Below are 15,402 nucleotides of genomic sequence, written 5' to 3' on the forward strand. Positions count from 1 at the left end.
CCCAGGCTGGAGTGCAATGGCGCGATCTCAGCTCACTGCAACCTCCACCTCCCGGATTCAAGCGATTCTCCTGCCTCAGTCTCCCAGTAGCTGGGATTACAGGTGTGCCCCTCCACACCTGGCCAAGTTTTGTATTTTTAATAGAGACGGGGTTTCACCATGTTGGCCGGGCTGGTCTCAAACTCCTGACCTCAAGTGATCTGCCTGCCTTGGTCTCCCGAAGTGCTGGGATTACAGGTGTGATCCACTGCACCCAGGCAATGACTTGTATAATATATGAATTACAACTCAATAAAGCTGTTTAAAAATATTCCTGGTAGAGCAAGGCTCGTGCTTATATGCTTATAAAAGGAAAAAAAAAACTTTCTTACTCAGTGGTAGATAAACATCAACAAATTAAAACGGAAGTGTGTACAATTTAAATAATATCCGATTCTTGATGACTGTTACTATCAAACCTGTGGGAAATTTGCTCAGTTCACACTTAAAATTTGAAATTACATGGAGAAGAAAATTTTCAATAAATGGTATTTGGGGGAAAGAAAGGATTAGCTTTATACCATCCCTCCTGCCAAAAAATTTCTAAACAATGGAGCTAAAAGAAAAAAAAAAAGAAACTATAAAATTAGAAGGAAAATATCTGATCATAGAACTGGGGAAAGCCTAAGAATGAGAGTCAGAATAAATCACAAAAGAAGATTGGTAGATCTGCCTGAAGAAAAAAACGTGCATAAATTAAACAACATAAAGTTAAAATTGAAAGACTGGAAAAAAATGTAAATTTTCTTTTTTTTTTTTTTTTTTTTTTTTTGAGACAGGGTCTCACTCTGTTGCCCAGGCTGGAGATGCAACAGAGCGATCTTGGCTCACTGCAGCCTCGATGCCCCAAGCTCAAGCAATCCTCCTGCCTCAGCCTCCTGAGTAGTCGGGACTACAGGCATGTGCCACCATGCCCAGCTAATTTTTTGTAGAGATGGGGTTTTGCCATGTTGCCCACACTGGTCTACAACTCCTGGGCTCATGCAATTCAGCCTCCCAAAGTGCTCGGGTTACATGTGTGAGCCACCATGCCAGACCAAAAATAACATTCTGAAAGAAAAATGAACAAAGGCCATGAGCAGAAAATTCACACAAAAATACAAATTGCCAATGAATGCAGATTTCAACCTCATTAAAAAATCAAAGAATGGGATGGCTGTGGTGGCTCACGCCTGTAATCCCAATACTTTGGGAGGCTGAGGCAGGTGGATCACCTGAGGTCAGGAGTTCGAGACCAGCCTGGCCAACATGGTGAAACCCTGTTTCTACTAAAAATACAAAAATTAGCTGGGTGTGTTGGCAGGCGCCCGTAATCCCAGCTACTCGGGAGGCTAAGGCAGGAGAATTGCTTGAATCTGGGAGGTGGAGATTGCAGTGAGCTGAGATTGCGCCACTGCACTCCAGCCTGGGCAACAAGAGCAAAACTCCATCTTTAAAAAAAAAAAATCAAAGAATGCACACAAAAACAGTATTTTTTGATTAACTGAGATTTTTAAAGTATGAAACTACAGTGTTAGCAGAGATGTGAAGCACAGGCACGCTAGTGCAATACTGTGGGAGTTTCATGAAGCCACTTGATTTTTTATAATCTCCTAAACAATCATATTACATTGTATTCAACTTAGTAGCATGATTCCTTACTTTTCTGGTTTTAAGTCTCTATAAATTATTCCCAGGCTATGTAGATGGTCTAAAGCAAGTGCAAGTTCAGCCAAGTAGAATTTGACATCTTCTTCTGTGAACATCACCTAAAATAAAACAATAATTTTTCTAAATTTATTTTCTTTTTGTGTCTGTAATTTTTAAAGTTCCACTCTAGAGTTTAAATATCCTAAAAATTTTATAAATATGATAATTATACATAGCTTTGTTTACAATTTATTCGTGAAAGGAATAGCAAAATTATCTAATCAGTCAACCAATCACTTACTAAATACTAACTATGCACTATGGGAGAAATAATTTTACATTTTATTGTTAAGTATATTCAGGGTGTGCCACTGTTGTCCCATGACAGTAACATTTTAGAAATGAAAAGTGATCTTTAAAATGCATGCTTAATTTCTAGTACTAATTGTTTAAGGATATCTTGTTGATACATTATTGCTTCTGGAAAAAACTATAAAAGAAGCAGGGTTAAGACAAAGACTGTTTATTTGTCAATTTAAAGTCCTGCTTTCAGAATAAATTCAAAAGGTAGGAAAAGAACTCTTTTTGGGTCTGATTCTTCCAGAATCTTGTGCCACTAGAGAAAATACAGTAAGCATAATACTGAAACATAACAAAGCTTTAGTTCAAACAGGATGCATGTAAATAGACTAAAAATAGAGATTAATTATATACCTCTTTGGATAAGCGTGTAAACAAATCTCCTCCCCTGAGAAAATCCAAAATAAGATACAACTTCCCTTCAGTTTGAAAAGCTGAATGAAGAAATGAAAATTTTCATTTAGTCCACCATAATTTTTTTAGGTTTACATTAGGTCATTCATAAATGAATATTTTAACAAATTAATTATATCAAATGTCCAAACTTACTTTTACTTAGAAGAAAACCACTGATTTATCTTAGTTTCCATGTGGAAATGTTAAATACAGTGTTTCTTATTATGGAATCACTAGATTTTCAACAGGCAAGTCACTCAGGAATACAATAGTTCTAAACCCATGATACATAAGAAAACCTCCTAAAAAAAAAGACTTACTTAACTACGAAATAACATACAAAAACCATGCCACTAGCTACAGAAAAAAATATGGGTTGGTTAGGTTTAATTACACATAGTAAGAATCACCACACCTTTACCCACTGAGAAAAAGCATATGGCTTCGGGGAAAAGAACAGCAGTGACAATGGTTTTAGGATGTTGACATTAGGGATCTCTTTGGCCTTTAGGGTTGGCTAACACATATAGGCTACAAAAGGCTAGCATATTATTACTCATTATTATTATAATAAAAAAGCAATAATTATCATTACCTGTTCCTATGGCTACCACTCAGAAACTAACTTTATAATATTTAAAAAAAACATAAACTAAACAATAAAAGCTTCTAAAGTTTGTCTAAGAAATAATGGCTTAATTTTCATGACTTATTACTATATAGATCTGCTAACCACATACAAATATATATTTATTTATATTAGTTTATCTGAATGTCCTCAGGGATTTTGAGGGATGAGGTCAAGGGATGATGTGGGAGACGGCTCATACTTACCATAATGCAACTTGACAATAAAAGGATGATTAACCTCTACCAAGATATCACGTTCCATTTTTGTCCGAACTCGGTCTCGAACTATAAAAGATTGTATGTATGCTACATTGTAATATCTTTCAAAGATAATCTTCAAAACAAATTCTTTTTGGTGCCCATGTTAAATAAAATTTTGCTTATGTGTATTAAAATGTGAATGTTTTATCATTCTTGAATTTACAAAATCAATAATGATGTCTTTTACTACATTACATAACCAAAGGAAGTTGCATATATTTATAAAATCCATGCTTTTAAGTTGGAAAAAATATAGAGAAAATATTAGGTATTGGCTTTAACATCAAATGCACAAGTATTTTAATCACAGCTGTGGAAAATGGCAAAAAAGCATGCAACTTTTAAAAAACAAGGCATCCTAATGAAACAGTAAAACATAAAAAATGAATAGGTTTCAACATTCCATCAGTCCTATCAATTAAACTCAACAAACATTCATTAAGCATACCTAAAATGAGGCAGACATGGGGTAAAGGACAGTTATATCCAAAGAGGTCTATTTTGAGGGAAGAAGAAAGGAAGCAAGAGGGAGAGAGAGAACATACTGTGGTATAGCTGAAAGAGCAAATGTTTTCTGGAGTTTAGACAGAAAGATATGAATTCAGATCTGTGTAATCTTTTTTTTGAAAAAAACTTAAGCATCACAAGATCTGTACAATCACGAGCAAGATACTTATTTAAATTCTTTGAGACTCAGTTACCTTTCGGCTACACAATGGGGATAACACTACTGTAGCTTTGAGGAGCATATGACCATTTGAGATAAGGTATGTACCTAGAGCCTGGTATGTATGAGATATTCAATTAAATAGTAGCTATTGTTATTATATGCAAAGTAGCACCATGAATATGATTAAGGGATAAAACAATTTACTACCAGCAATGAGTACTGCAGGATTCAGAGAAGGGCAAGATCAGTCTTACTTGCATAGGAAGGCTAGAAGAAAGATGTAGGGTCAGGGAGCAAGCTTTAAGACTTTTGGAGTGGCATTTAGATGGGTAGGAAGGATAGGCCCTAGAAAACAAGAGTCCAAGCATGGAGTACCCAGTGTAAGCAAAGATGTGAAGGCATGAATGACAAACAGGAAGGAACCAAATGAGATTTACTACTGCGCCAAGGCGAAATGGGGAGGATCCAGATTCTTGAGAAGTTGGAATGCCAAGATGAATTTATATTTGACCCTGTGAGCAAAGCTCTTTTTCAGCAACCAAATATTTCCTGAGCAAAGTGTATGTGCAATGCACTAGGGATATACATACAAATAAGATAATCTTCAAGAAGCTCATGATCTAGTGGGAAGGACAGACAGGTAAATAAATGATTATAATACATTCTAAGTACTCTGAATGGTTATATGAAACATGAAAATGGAAAGAATAGGACAATCTTTGGAGGAGGGAGAAAGTTGAGTTGGTTTTATTTTCAGTTTAGGGTGACTGCAGATATTTAAAATATAGAAATAAGACCTCTGGGGAAAATAAACAAAGCAGCTAAAAAATGCCCTATTTTTTCCATTCTACCAGTTTTCTATCCCCAACTGGGAGATTTTCATACCACTGACTGAAAATGGGCAAATCAGAAATAGGAATCAATTGCTCTTGATGTCTACGCAGCTCTTTTAACTGACCTGTCCAGTTAGTATATCAAATTCAATAGCAATCTCTGATTTCATTACCTTGCCCGATCGCTACAACTCTGGTATTTTCCTTGTTATATCTGATATGCCCCCTTTTTTTTGAGATAGGATATCGCTGTCGCCCTGGCTGGAGTGCAGTGGTGTGACCTCGGCTCGCTGCAACCTCCCTCTCCAGGGTTCAAGTTATTCTTCTGCCTCAGCTTCCCGAGCAGCTGGGATTACAGGCTTGTGCTACCATACCTGGCTAATTTTTGTATTTGTGGTAGAGACGGGGTTTCACCATGTTGGCCAGGCTGGTCTCTAACTCCTGACCTCAGGTGATCCGCCTGCCTTGGCCTCCCCAAGTGCTGGGATTACAGGCACGGGCCACCACGCCCAGCCTGATATGCCCTTTGTACTTTTTATGTGAGTGAAGTTCATCACCAATACCTGCTGATATTTCTATTCTAGTCTAGCCTAAATCTGTCCTTTTCTCATTATTACCATACAATTTTGGATTAGTTCCTATCACCTTAAAGGTGGATTCCAAAGTCCTACCTCTTTCAATAAGTATACAAGGCTTATCACTTAAAAATACCTCGTCTGCTCAGTAAGCATCAAAAATATCCACTAATAAATGCACTGTATATCCCTCTTGTCTTATTTTACCACAATGAAAAGAACAATTATTTGGGAGTCAAGAACTACAGTTTAGTGGCTATACTAATAACTAGATGAACTCATAACTACCTTGGTCAAATCATTTCATTGCTCAGGGATTTCCTGTTTCCTCCTCTATAAAATGAAGGATTAGAACCAAGATGATTTTTTTGTGAGACAGTTTTCTCTTCAACATTTCCTTATATGTAACATTGATGAGACCTTGTTTAACTGAAAATGAGCAGTGAGAGTCCTTCTCTAAAGAATTCCTTCATTTTGTCTGAGGTAGGCCTGTGTCATAATTCTAATCTCGTTTCTTTTGCTTATGTAAAGACCTAGTGACAATTCTAAATCATCCTACCATGAGGAATTTTAATTAGTATATACTAATTCAGAAGAAGGCATGTTTTATATAGGCCAACTTCTAATCCCAACATAGAATTGGTTAATACTGACTCATGCTGGCAAAGCAACTAGATTCCTCTGAAATATTTTTTCTTCTAGAGTAGTTATTAGATTTAAGCCCTACTTGACTGAACCTGAGAATGAAGAAATGTTGTTTATGTTCCTAGGACTATGCATTAAGAAACCTTTTTAAGCAGTTTACAGAACCTTTTAGACAAACAGACCACTTTAATAGGACAGAAGTCCCCATTAACTTTATCTAATGTTATTGACTTGTATTTGACCCCATTTATCGTATTAACAGGAACTTTAAAATGGGAAGAGACTTCTGGTTAAACATGGATATTTTACTCTCTACATTCTTCCAAAACCCCATGGAAATGACAATAATGGAAAAACTGCATAAACTCACAAGGACAGGAAGCAATAGTAGAAGATGTGCAAGTGGTAACTAACAAAGCAGACCAGAGAAAGCTAAAAATCTAAGCCTAAGGAAAAGAAGCCAATGAAAAATAAGCAAATTCTTGTCATTGAAATCTTTCCAATCAGCTTTCTAGCACCCGACTCTTAAAGAAAAGATAGCAAAAGACCCCCAGGCATTTGGAGAAAGGCTCTAAACATGAAAAACATCAAAATAAACAGAAAAATGGAATAAAGGGAAACAGAGACAATGTGAGGAACAGAAGATAACTTAAACACCACACAACACAACTCAATCTTGTAATTTATGTCCACTGAGGGAGCAAAGATAATATGGCACCTCACCCTTTTTAAAGCTTCTTGTTCTTGTTTAAAAAGGGTGGTGGGGTGGAGGAAGGAACAAGTATCCGCAACAAATAAACTACAAGGAAAAGATAAGAAATGAAGAAAGAGTTCATAGATGAAAAGACTTAAAAACATTATCAACCAATTGCAAAGTTGAGACCTTATATGTATGGATCCTAATTTAAACAGACTGCATAAAGAAACATAAATTTTAATAGTAGGGACAACTAGCAATTTGAACAAAGACTGGATATCTTTATGCTCATTTTTAAGGTATGATAATACAGTTGAATTATCTCTTTTAGGAGTCTATCTTTTTTTTGAGATGGAGTCTTGCCCCGTCGCCCAGGCTGGAGTGCACTGATGTAATCTCGACTCACTGCAACCTCCGCCTCCTGGGTTCAAACGATTCTCCTGTCTCAGGCTCCTGAGTAGCTGAGATTACAGGTGCCCGCCACCACACCCAGCTAATTTTTGTATTTTTAGTAGAGACGGGGTTTCACCATGTTGGCCAGGCTGGTCTCAAACTCCTGACCTCATGATCCACCCGCCTCGGCCTCCCAAAGTGCTGGGATTACAGGCGTGAGCCACCGTACCCAGCCAGGAGTCTATCTTTTAGAGATATATACTAAAATATTTATGAAAGAAATTCTATAGTGTCTGGGATTTCATTCAAAATATCAAGAGAAGAAGAAGGAGAACACTGATGAAAAAAGGTTGGCCATGAGTTGATAAATGTTGAAGCAGGGAGAAGGGTACAGGGGGTTCACTATATTCTTCTGTCTCTTTCTTAAATGTTTGACACTTTCCATAATTGAAAAATGTTTTAATGAAATAATCAGAGAACAAGAAAATCTAGGAAATGAAAAGCGATGGCAGAAACAAAAAGGTCAATAGAAGAGTTGGAAGATGGTTGAAGAAATTTCACAGAAAATAGAAAAAATGGAAAATAAAAGATGGAAAAATAAAGAAAATTAAGGAACAATTCAGGAGGTTTAACTAACATATTCCAAAGAGCAGCACTTACAAATGTAGAATAAATGACAAAAACTTTCCCAAGACTGAAGAAAGGAGTTTTTAGGTTGAAAGAGACCACACCTCATATATCATATGATATAGTTTTAGAAACCCACACTCAAGAATACCACTATATAAATTTCAGAACACCAGGAATAAAGAGTAGATTCTAAAGACTCCCAAAGAGGAAAAGCAGCTTACACACAAAGGACTGGGAGTGAGACCAGCAATTAACTTCATCACTGTAACACAGGAAACTAGAAGACAATGGAAGCAATACCTTCAAATATCTGGTAGAAAATTCTTTCTGACCTAGAATTTTATACTCAGCCAAATTATAAACTAAGTGACAGGCGGTAGAATAAAGCCATTTCCAGACATGGAGGGTCACAAAAAATTTAGTATCCATTTACTCATTCTGAGGTAGCTATGAGAAGATGAGTTCCATCAAAACTAAAAAGTAAACTGAGAAAAAGGTAGGCACAGAATTTATGAAAAGAGACTGAATACAGAAAAGAAGTGAAGGAAATGTGACTGTAGTATACTATTTCGTTCAGCTAGGAACAATTCTTATAAAGCTGTAACAATGAAAACATTATTGGGAAGATGTGAAAAGGGAAACTGTGAGTGGGTGGCAGCATGAGAGAACTGAATCTTAGTCTTCCATGTTAGAAAGGCAATAGATTATGTCTCCAAATGAAAACAAACAATTGCAATATAAAAGTGTTGAATATAAATGTAAATGGCAGCAGCTAAAGAGATGAAAGTCATTGTCTCTGGGGTTCAAGAATTAGGATAGGCAGAAGAGTGGGCAAAGCATAGCTATGTTATATGATAAGACTCTACAGATATTCTTTTGATAAACATAAAAATTTAAGAACACATTCACAATTATTCAGCAGTTTAAAATTCCAATAAGTCAAATATTTTCACTTTTCTATCATCTCTTTTATAGCTAATATCTATACAATTTTACATACTTGTAGCTCAATTTGTTCTAATTTTCACTACATTCATTTTTGTAATTTTATTTAAGATACTTTATTTTAATAATATCCTATTAAGTGGTAAACCATAATTTTATAACGTTTCTCTATTTTTCCTTATTAAAAAAAATTTTTTTTAGGGACAGATCTCCCTCTACCCAGGGTGGAGTACAGTGGTGCAATCAAAGCTCACTGTAACCTTGAAGACTCAAGCGTTCCTCCCGCTTTAGCCCCCCCAGTCAGCTGGGACGACAGGCACACGCCACCAGGCCTGGCTAATTATTCTATTTTTTGTAGAGATGAGGTCTCACTATGCTGCCCAGGCTGGTCTTGAACTCCTGGGCTCAGGCAATCCTCCCACCTCAGCCTCCCAAAGTGCTGAAATTATAGGAATGAGCCACTATGCCTGGTCACAATTCCTCTAGTTTTCCAGTGTGTATGTGATTTCTAACTTCTTGCTATTATAAATAATGTTGCAACAAGAATTTTCAAGCCTATGAATCCTTTTTTTGAAGCTATTTCCGCAGGTTAATGTAGCAGCAATAATGGCTTTCCAATTTATGCTGCCATCATATGAAATAACATGCATTCATCTCACTCTGTCACCCAGGCTGGAGTACAGTGGTGTGATCACAGCTCACTGCAACCTCAAACTCCTGGGCTCAAGAGATACTCTTGCCTCAGCCTCCAGAGTAGCTAGAATCACAGGCTTGCACCACTACAACCATCTGATTTTATTTTTATTTTTTGTAGAGACAGGGTCTTGCTATATTGCCCTAGCTAGTCTTGAACTCCTGTCCTTAAGCCATCCTCCCGCCTCAGCCTCCCAAAGTGCTAGGATTACAAGTGCGAGCCACTGTGCCCAGCAAACTTTATTATTTTAATATGCATCTTTGACTTTCACCAAAACTGAACATTTCCCCAAAGATTATTTATCTCCTTGTGTAAACTTTATTCAAAATCCTCCAGATGGAGGATATAATGGTATTTCTTATCAATTCCTAACTCCTTCATTCTTTTTAAGTTTATTAGTTGGAATTATATTGCAAGAAAGAGTTTTCCCTTTTCCCCCATTAATTAACTTATGAATTAACCTATGGCTTCTTATTTTATTCAACTGGCTTGTAATCTATCACTAACATTTATTATTGCAATGTTTAAGTTGCCCCAGATTTGGCCAGTAGAAGCCCCTTAGCCAACTCCTTATATTAATATATTTTCCTGTCTTCCTATTTATACTATTTTTCATTGTATGAAATGTTAACAATTTTTGTATTACTAATTTGTTTGTAATTTGCTCAATATTTCCTCACAAGTTTCCTAGATGTGTTAAGTTGTAAAATTCAGTTAGGGTGGAGTTTGTTATGGTGTTATTTTCCAGCTTGCTCAGGGGTATTTCTTTTTTCTTTTTTTTTTTTTTTTTTTTGAGACGGAGTTTTGCTCTTGTCGCCTAGGCTGGAGTACAGTGGTGCGATCCCGGCTCACTGCAACCTCCGCCCCCCGTGTTTAAGCGATATTCCTGCCTCAGCCTCATGAGCAGCTGGGATTACAGACACCCAACACCATGCCCGGCTAATTTTTTTTGTATTTTTAGTAGAGACGGGGTTTTGCCATGTTGGGCATGCTGGTCTCGAACTCCTGACCTCAGGTGATCTGCCTGCCTCGGCCTCCCAAAGTGCTGGGATTACAGGTGCGAGCCACTGTGCCCGGCTGAGCTCAGGGGTATCATTACTTAATTTCCCATTGTTCTGTATGCCTGTTTTGTCATACAGCATGGCAGGTACTCAATATTTTTGTAACAAATACACTAAAATTTGATATATATATGTTGTACTATTTTGTTCCACTGATTCTATGCCTGTATTACTCCCCCCAATAACACACTAAGTTAGTGCTACTTGAAGCATTAGGATCTGAGAGAGCTTGTTCCCTTATTATTCTTCTTTTCCAAAATATTCTGGATTCGGAAATAAAATTCTGAATTATCTTGTTAAGTTTTAAGGAAAATGCAGCTGGAATCTTAATGATATTGAGGTAACTGAATGGCTAGAGGAGTAGTGAGATTCTTAACAGTTGGCCTTCTCTAATAGGGATTGGGCATTTATTTCCTTTCCTGGTAACTTTTAGGTTTCTTAGAGTTTTGTAGTTTCCTTTACATACACTATGCACAATACAAATCCTGTTAAATACATAAAATCAAACTACTTTTGTTGCTTTTGTGAATGAACTCTGAGTCTCATCTATGCAGCTTTGTAACATGGGATTCATGAGTATAAAGTCACAAATGCAGTGACAGAAAGGCAGGGGATTGAGGATATAATTTAATTCCCTGGTCCTAGCAGGAATCAAGTAAGTGGTAATGCCATGGGGTAGGACTGAATAGGAAAGAAAATATGTTCAGGAAGGGAGTTAACAGAATGGAAGCAAACGACAGTGTTTACAGAGAGAAGTGAAATTTCTTGGGATGTCCATGGTGGGTAACTAATTGGGAATAACAGAAATAATAAATGATCATTGCAAATATTAGAGAATATTTTCAAAGCTTTATAAATTACATGTAAATTGAAGAGGAAAAAATGGACTTTTAGTAATCAATACACAAAACATCTAGAGGTTATGAGGTTAAAATAAGTGATACCACTAAATTAAAGGAAGAGTTAAGTATTTTTAAATCTATATTTCTTCTTAACTACTTTTTTTTTTTTTTTTGAGACGGAGTTTCACTCTTGTTGCCCAGGCTGGAGTGCAATGCCACGATCTCGGCTCACAGCAACCTCCGCCTCCCGGGTTCAAGCGATTCTCTTGCCTCAGCCTCTGAGTAGCTGGAATTATAGGTATGTGCCACCACGCCCAGCTAATTTTTTGTATTTTTAGTAGAGATGGGGTTTCTCCATGTTGGTCAGGCTGATCTCGAACTTCTAACCTCAGGTGATCCGCCTGCCTCGGCCTCCCAAAGTGCTGGGATTACAGGTGTGAGCCACCACGCCCGGCCTCTTCTTAACTACTTTTTACCTATGAGAGCCAAATCCTGCATTAGGGTTTTCAAATCATAGGCTCAGAATAAAAACTTACTTGGAGACCAGAAGTCATAAAGTCCTTTAGAATAAAAGCTATTTTGCAGCCAGTAAATCAGTACGTTTTTAAAAACATTAAAATAAATATATAAATTTGAAGATGAATCAAACCCAGTTTTAATCTTCTAAATGTTTACTTGTATAAAACTCAATATGAATTTATAATACGTCTTTTATAACGTGGCAACTCTGGTTCTCACTAGTTATATGATTCCTAGCCTAGCAGGAAAAATTCACTAAAAGTCAGCCTAAATTTAAAGCTGGTAACAGGAACCTATTCAGAATGTAAATAACATGCCAAGGAGTCCCATGAGCTCTATTGAGACCTTTCAGTTTGTTTAGACTACATGAACATTACAAATAGCAGCAACACTTACCTTTCAGTGTGGCCTTCTTCAATACCTTCATGGCATAAAGCTGCCTAGCATCAGAGCCTGAGATTTTTTTAACTAAGAAAACCTGCATTTAAGTAAGAGAAAATAAATATTACAAAGTAGTATAAACTATATCCTTGTTAAAATAAGACCCTGCTATAATACAGTTTATTATTATAATATAGATTCAGATATACTGTAGATTATTTCCCCTAAAATGTATCAATTATAAATACTAGTTATAAACATTTGTTATAACTTGGGGTGTCAATATAAGGGAATACATTTTTTTCATTTTGTTGTTTGCCAGTTCCCAAAGAGCATGTAACACATTAAGACAGAAAAAAACCCTTTAAACTACATATGTATGAATTAGATGGAAAAAATCCCAAAATGTTTAAAGTATAACACAGGTGGTATGATGTCCTGCTTTTAACAAAACAGAATTCTACTGAGCCCGTCAAAATTGTTATACGGCGGTTCCTTCTTGACCACAATTTCCTGTTGATACAAGTATTCACTGATGGAGGGTCTTTTCTGTATACAAAAGCTGCATATAAATCTCACTGCTCAGCGGAACAATTTAAAACACTTACATTGGGCTGGGAGTGGTGGCACACCCCTATAATCCCAGCACTTTGGGAGGCCAAGGCGGGTGGATCACCTGAGGTCAGGAGTTCGAGACCAGCCTGACCAACATGGTGAAATCCCATGTCTACTAAAAATATAAAATTAGCCAGATGTGGTAGCTGGCACCTGTAATCCCAGCTACTTGGGAGGCTGAGGCAGGAGAATCACTTGAACCCGGGAGGTGGAGGTTGCAGTGAGCCGAGATCGTACCATTGCACTCCAGCCTGGGCAACAAGAGCCAGACTCCGTTTCAAAACAACAACAACAACAAAATGAAAAGCAAAAACAAACAAACAAACAAACAAAACTTACACTGAAGAATCCTGTGCACAAATATTTAATGTGACTTAAGTTAGAACCCACCTCCCCACCTTTTTATGGTCAAATTATCACATACACCTAAATATGAAGAACACAATTCTCAGGTATGTTATTGGGCATCCTGACTTTGCAAATATTTGCGCAAAATGAATAAAGCCTGTTCTAAATAACTCATGGTCATTCTATAACATGGCTAATACAAGACTACCAATACATCTCTTCTACTCACTTTGACCATTAGGTTCATGATCATTTCCATTGAACCTTTAAATAGATATGCCAAATAGATTTGAATTTCAACTCCTCTTCCCTATCCATTCTTTTGTAGCAGTGTTCTTATGCTTCCACAGGTGGGAAGAAGAGAAGCAACCACAATCAAGAATTAAGTTTAGGATCAGCTTTCATTCATCTGAATTAGCACATCAGGCTATTAGCACAAAATTAAAAAATGATTCATTCAACTGATTCTAGGACAAGGCAGAGTTTCTCACTTTGAGAAATTGTGCCAAGTCAATGGGCAAGATCCCAAATCAAGTGAAGAGCACCACAACTCGCGGAGAAACCCTGATACAGGGTGTGTTGCTCTCCAATAATCACCACCCCCTTTCACCATGCCCCACGCTTTAGCTCCTTTCAGCCAGTTAGTGGGGAGCCAACCTAGGGAGAGAAAAGCATCCTTAATCAGGGTGGATGTAAGCTCTGGAATGATGTTTAAGTATTAAAGGTAATCAGAGATTATTAATATTTTTGACGGAAATAAAATCTGATTAGGTAGAGATAATTAGGATTTATTTGATATTTAATCTTCCTTAAGATTCCCTAACCATTCTGCAAGAAAAATTCTCCTGGTGAATTCCAAACTTTCAACTGTTCTTTGAATGCATCTTCTTAACACTCCAGCACTTCTTAGTTTGCAAAATACTTTCACAACCATTTGTAATAAATCATCGTGTCAATTTTGGGAGGCAGACCTACTAGGCAATGCCTATTTTATAGCTGTCCAAACTAGGGCTTAGGGGGTTAAGTAATTTGCCCAGTGTCACAGTGGAGGTACTGGGACAGAGTCCGTGTCAGTCACCCAGTATTCTGCTTCTGCTCAGGGTGCTGTTTATCTGTTCCCTTTGGCCAGTAACCAGGCAAGCCCAGCAGGAGCAGCAGCGGTCCCAGCTGCCATCTCTTCCTCCACCAGAGCATTTCTGACCTTTTCTCACTCCCCCATGAAGCTATTCTAGTCTCTGACAGGTCATCCCTGTTTCCTTGGCTTACTGTGGCCTTTCAGAATGAGTAAGAAAGGAGACAACCTATTTTGAATGTTTGGTATTTATAGTATGATATTTAAATTACTTTTAAAGACGTAAAGGGAGAAGCATGCTAATTCCAACAACTTAAATATTGTGTTCCCTGAAAATCTAATGTATAAAAATTACCCATCTATTTGGGTTTGAGTGGTGTGATAATTTAATTTAATACCAGATATTATATGCTTGGCCTTTTATCATTTAATTCTCACTACTCTCCTATGGAGTCAGAACTATTACACACTCATTAATTCTTTCCAGAATTATATGCCAGGCACTGTGCTACTGGTTCAATGCTGAGACTTGATACAAGGCATGACCCTTCCTTCACTCATGGAACATTTAGTCTAGTGGGGGAGACAGCCACTTAACAAATAATTAAACAAATGAAAAACTGCAATTGTGGCAAGTGCCATGAAGATGACGTATGTAATGTTCTGAGAGGGTATAACCAGGGAACATAACCTAGGAAGGATGCAGGGAAAGCTTCCTTGACATCACAGGTGCAAGAGGAGCTAACAAGCTGAGGAAGAGGCAGGGGTAGAGCAGAGTGTTTCAGGCAGAAGGAATAAAATATGGAAAGGCTTTCTAGCAGGATGGAGCTTAAGGACTTGGTCCTGCTTAAGGACCAACAAAGGCAGCCAATGTGACCAGAACACAGAGAGTGAAAAGTATGTAAACTGATGCTGGAGAGGTAGCTAGAGACCAGACTGAGAGGCTCCTCAGCCATCTTAAGAATTCATCTTTATCGTAAAAGCAAAGAGAGGACGCTGAAAGGTTATGGAGGGGTAGAGTAAAAGATTAGTTCATGCTGGCTATCATGTAAATAATGGATCAAGGCAAGAATACATTTGGAAAGACCCAGTTAGGAGACTCCTTCAATAGACCAGGAAGAAAGGTGGTAGCATATTCTCAAGGGGTGGCAGGCAGGCTTTGAGAAA

The 15,402-nt window shown here is 37.4% G+C and overlaps 1 protein-coding gene across 17 annotated transcripts in view; it reads right to left on the minus strand.

Annotated features, from left to right (window-relative positions):
• RPS6KA3 (ribosomal protein S6 kinase A3) overlaps positions 1-15,402 on the minus strand; it is a 117,187-nt gene that overhangs the window by 41,896 nt on the left and 59,889 nt on the right. For all 17 annotated transcript variants that reach the window (XM_011545561.3, XM_017029719.3, XM_047442335.1 and 14 more), the window contains 4 exons: positions 12,216-12,297; positions 3,259-3,339; positions 2,383-2,462; positions 1,681-1,787 (listed from right to left, as the gene is read on the minus strand). In XM_011545561.3, coding sequence (XP_011543863.1) covers positions 1,681-1,787; positions 2,383-2,462; positions 3,259-3,339; positions 12,216-12,297 — 350 coding nt within the window. The remainder of the gene's footprint in view (positions 1-1,680; positions 1,788-2,382; positions 2,463-3,258; positions 3,340-12,215; positions 12,298-15,402) is intronic.

Source organism: Homo sapiens, chromosome X (assembly GCF_000001405.40).
Source record: "Homo sapiens chromosome X, GRCh38.p14 Primary Assembly".
Classification (NCBI taxonomy): domain Eukaryota; kingdom Metazoa; phylum Chordata; class Mammalia; order Primates; family Hominidae; genus Homo; species Homo sapiens.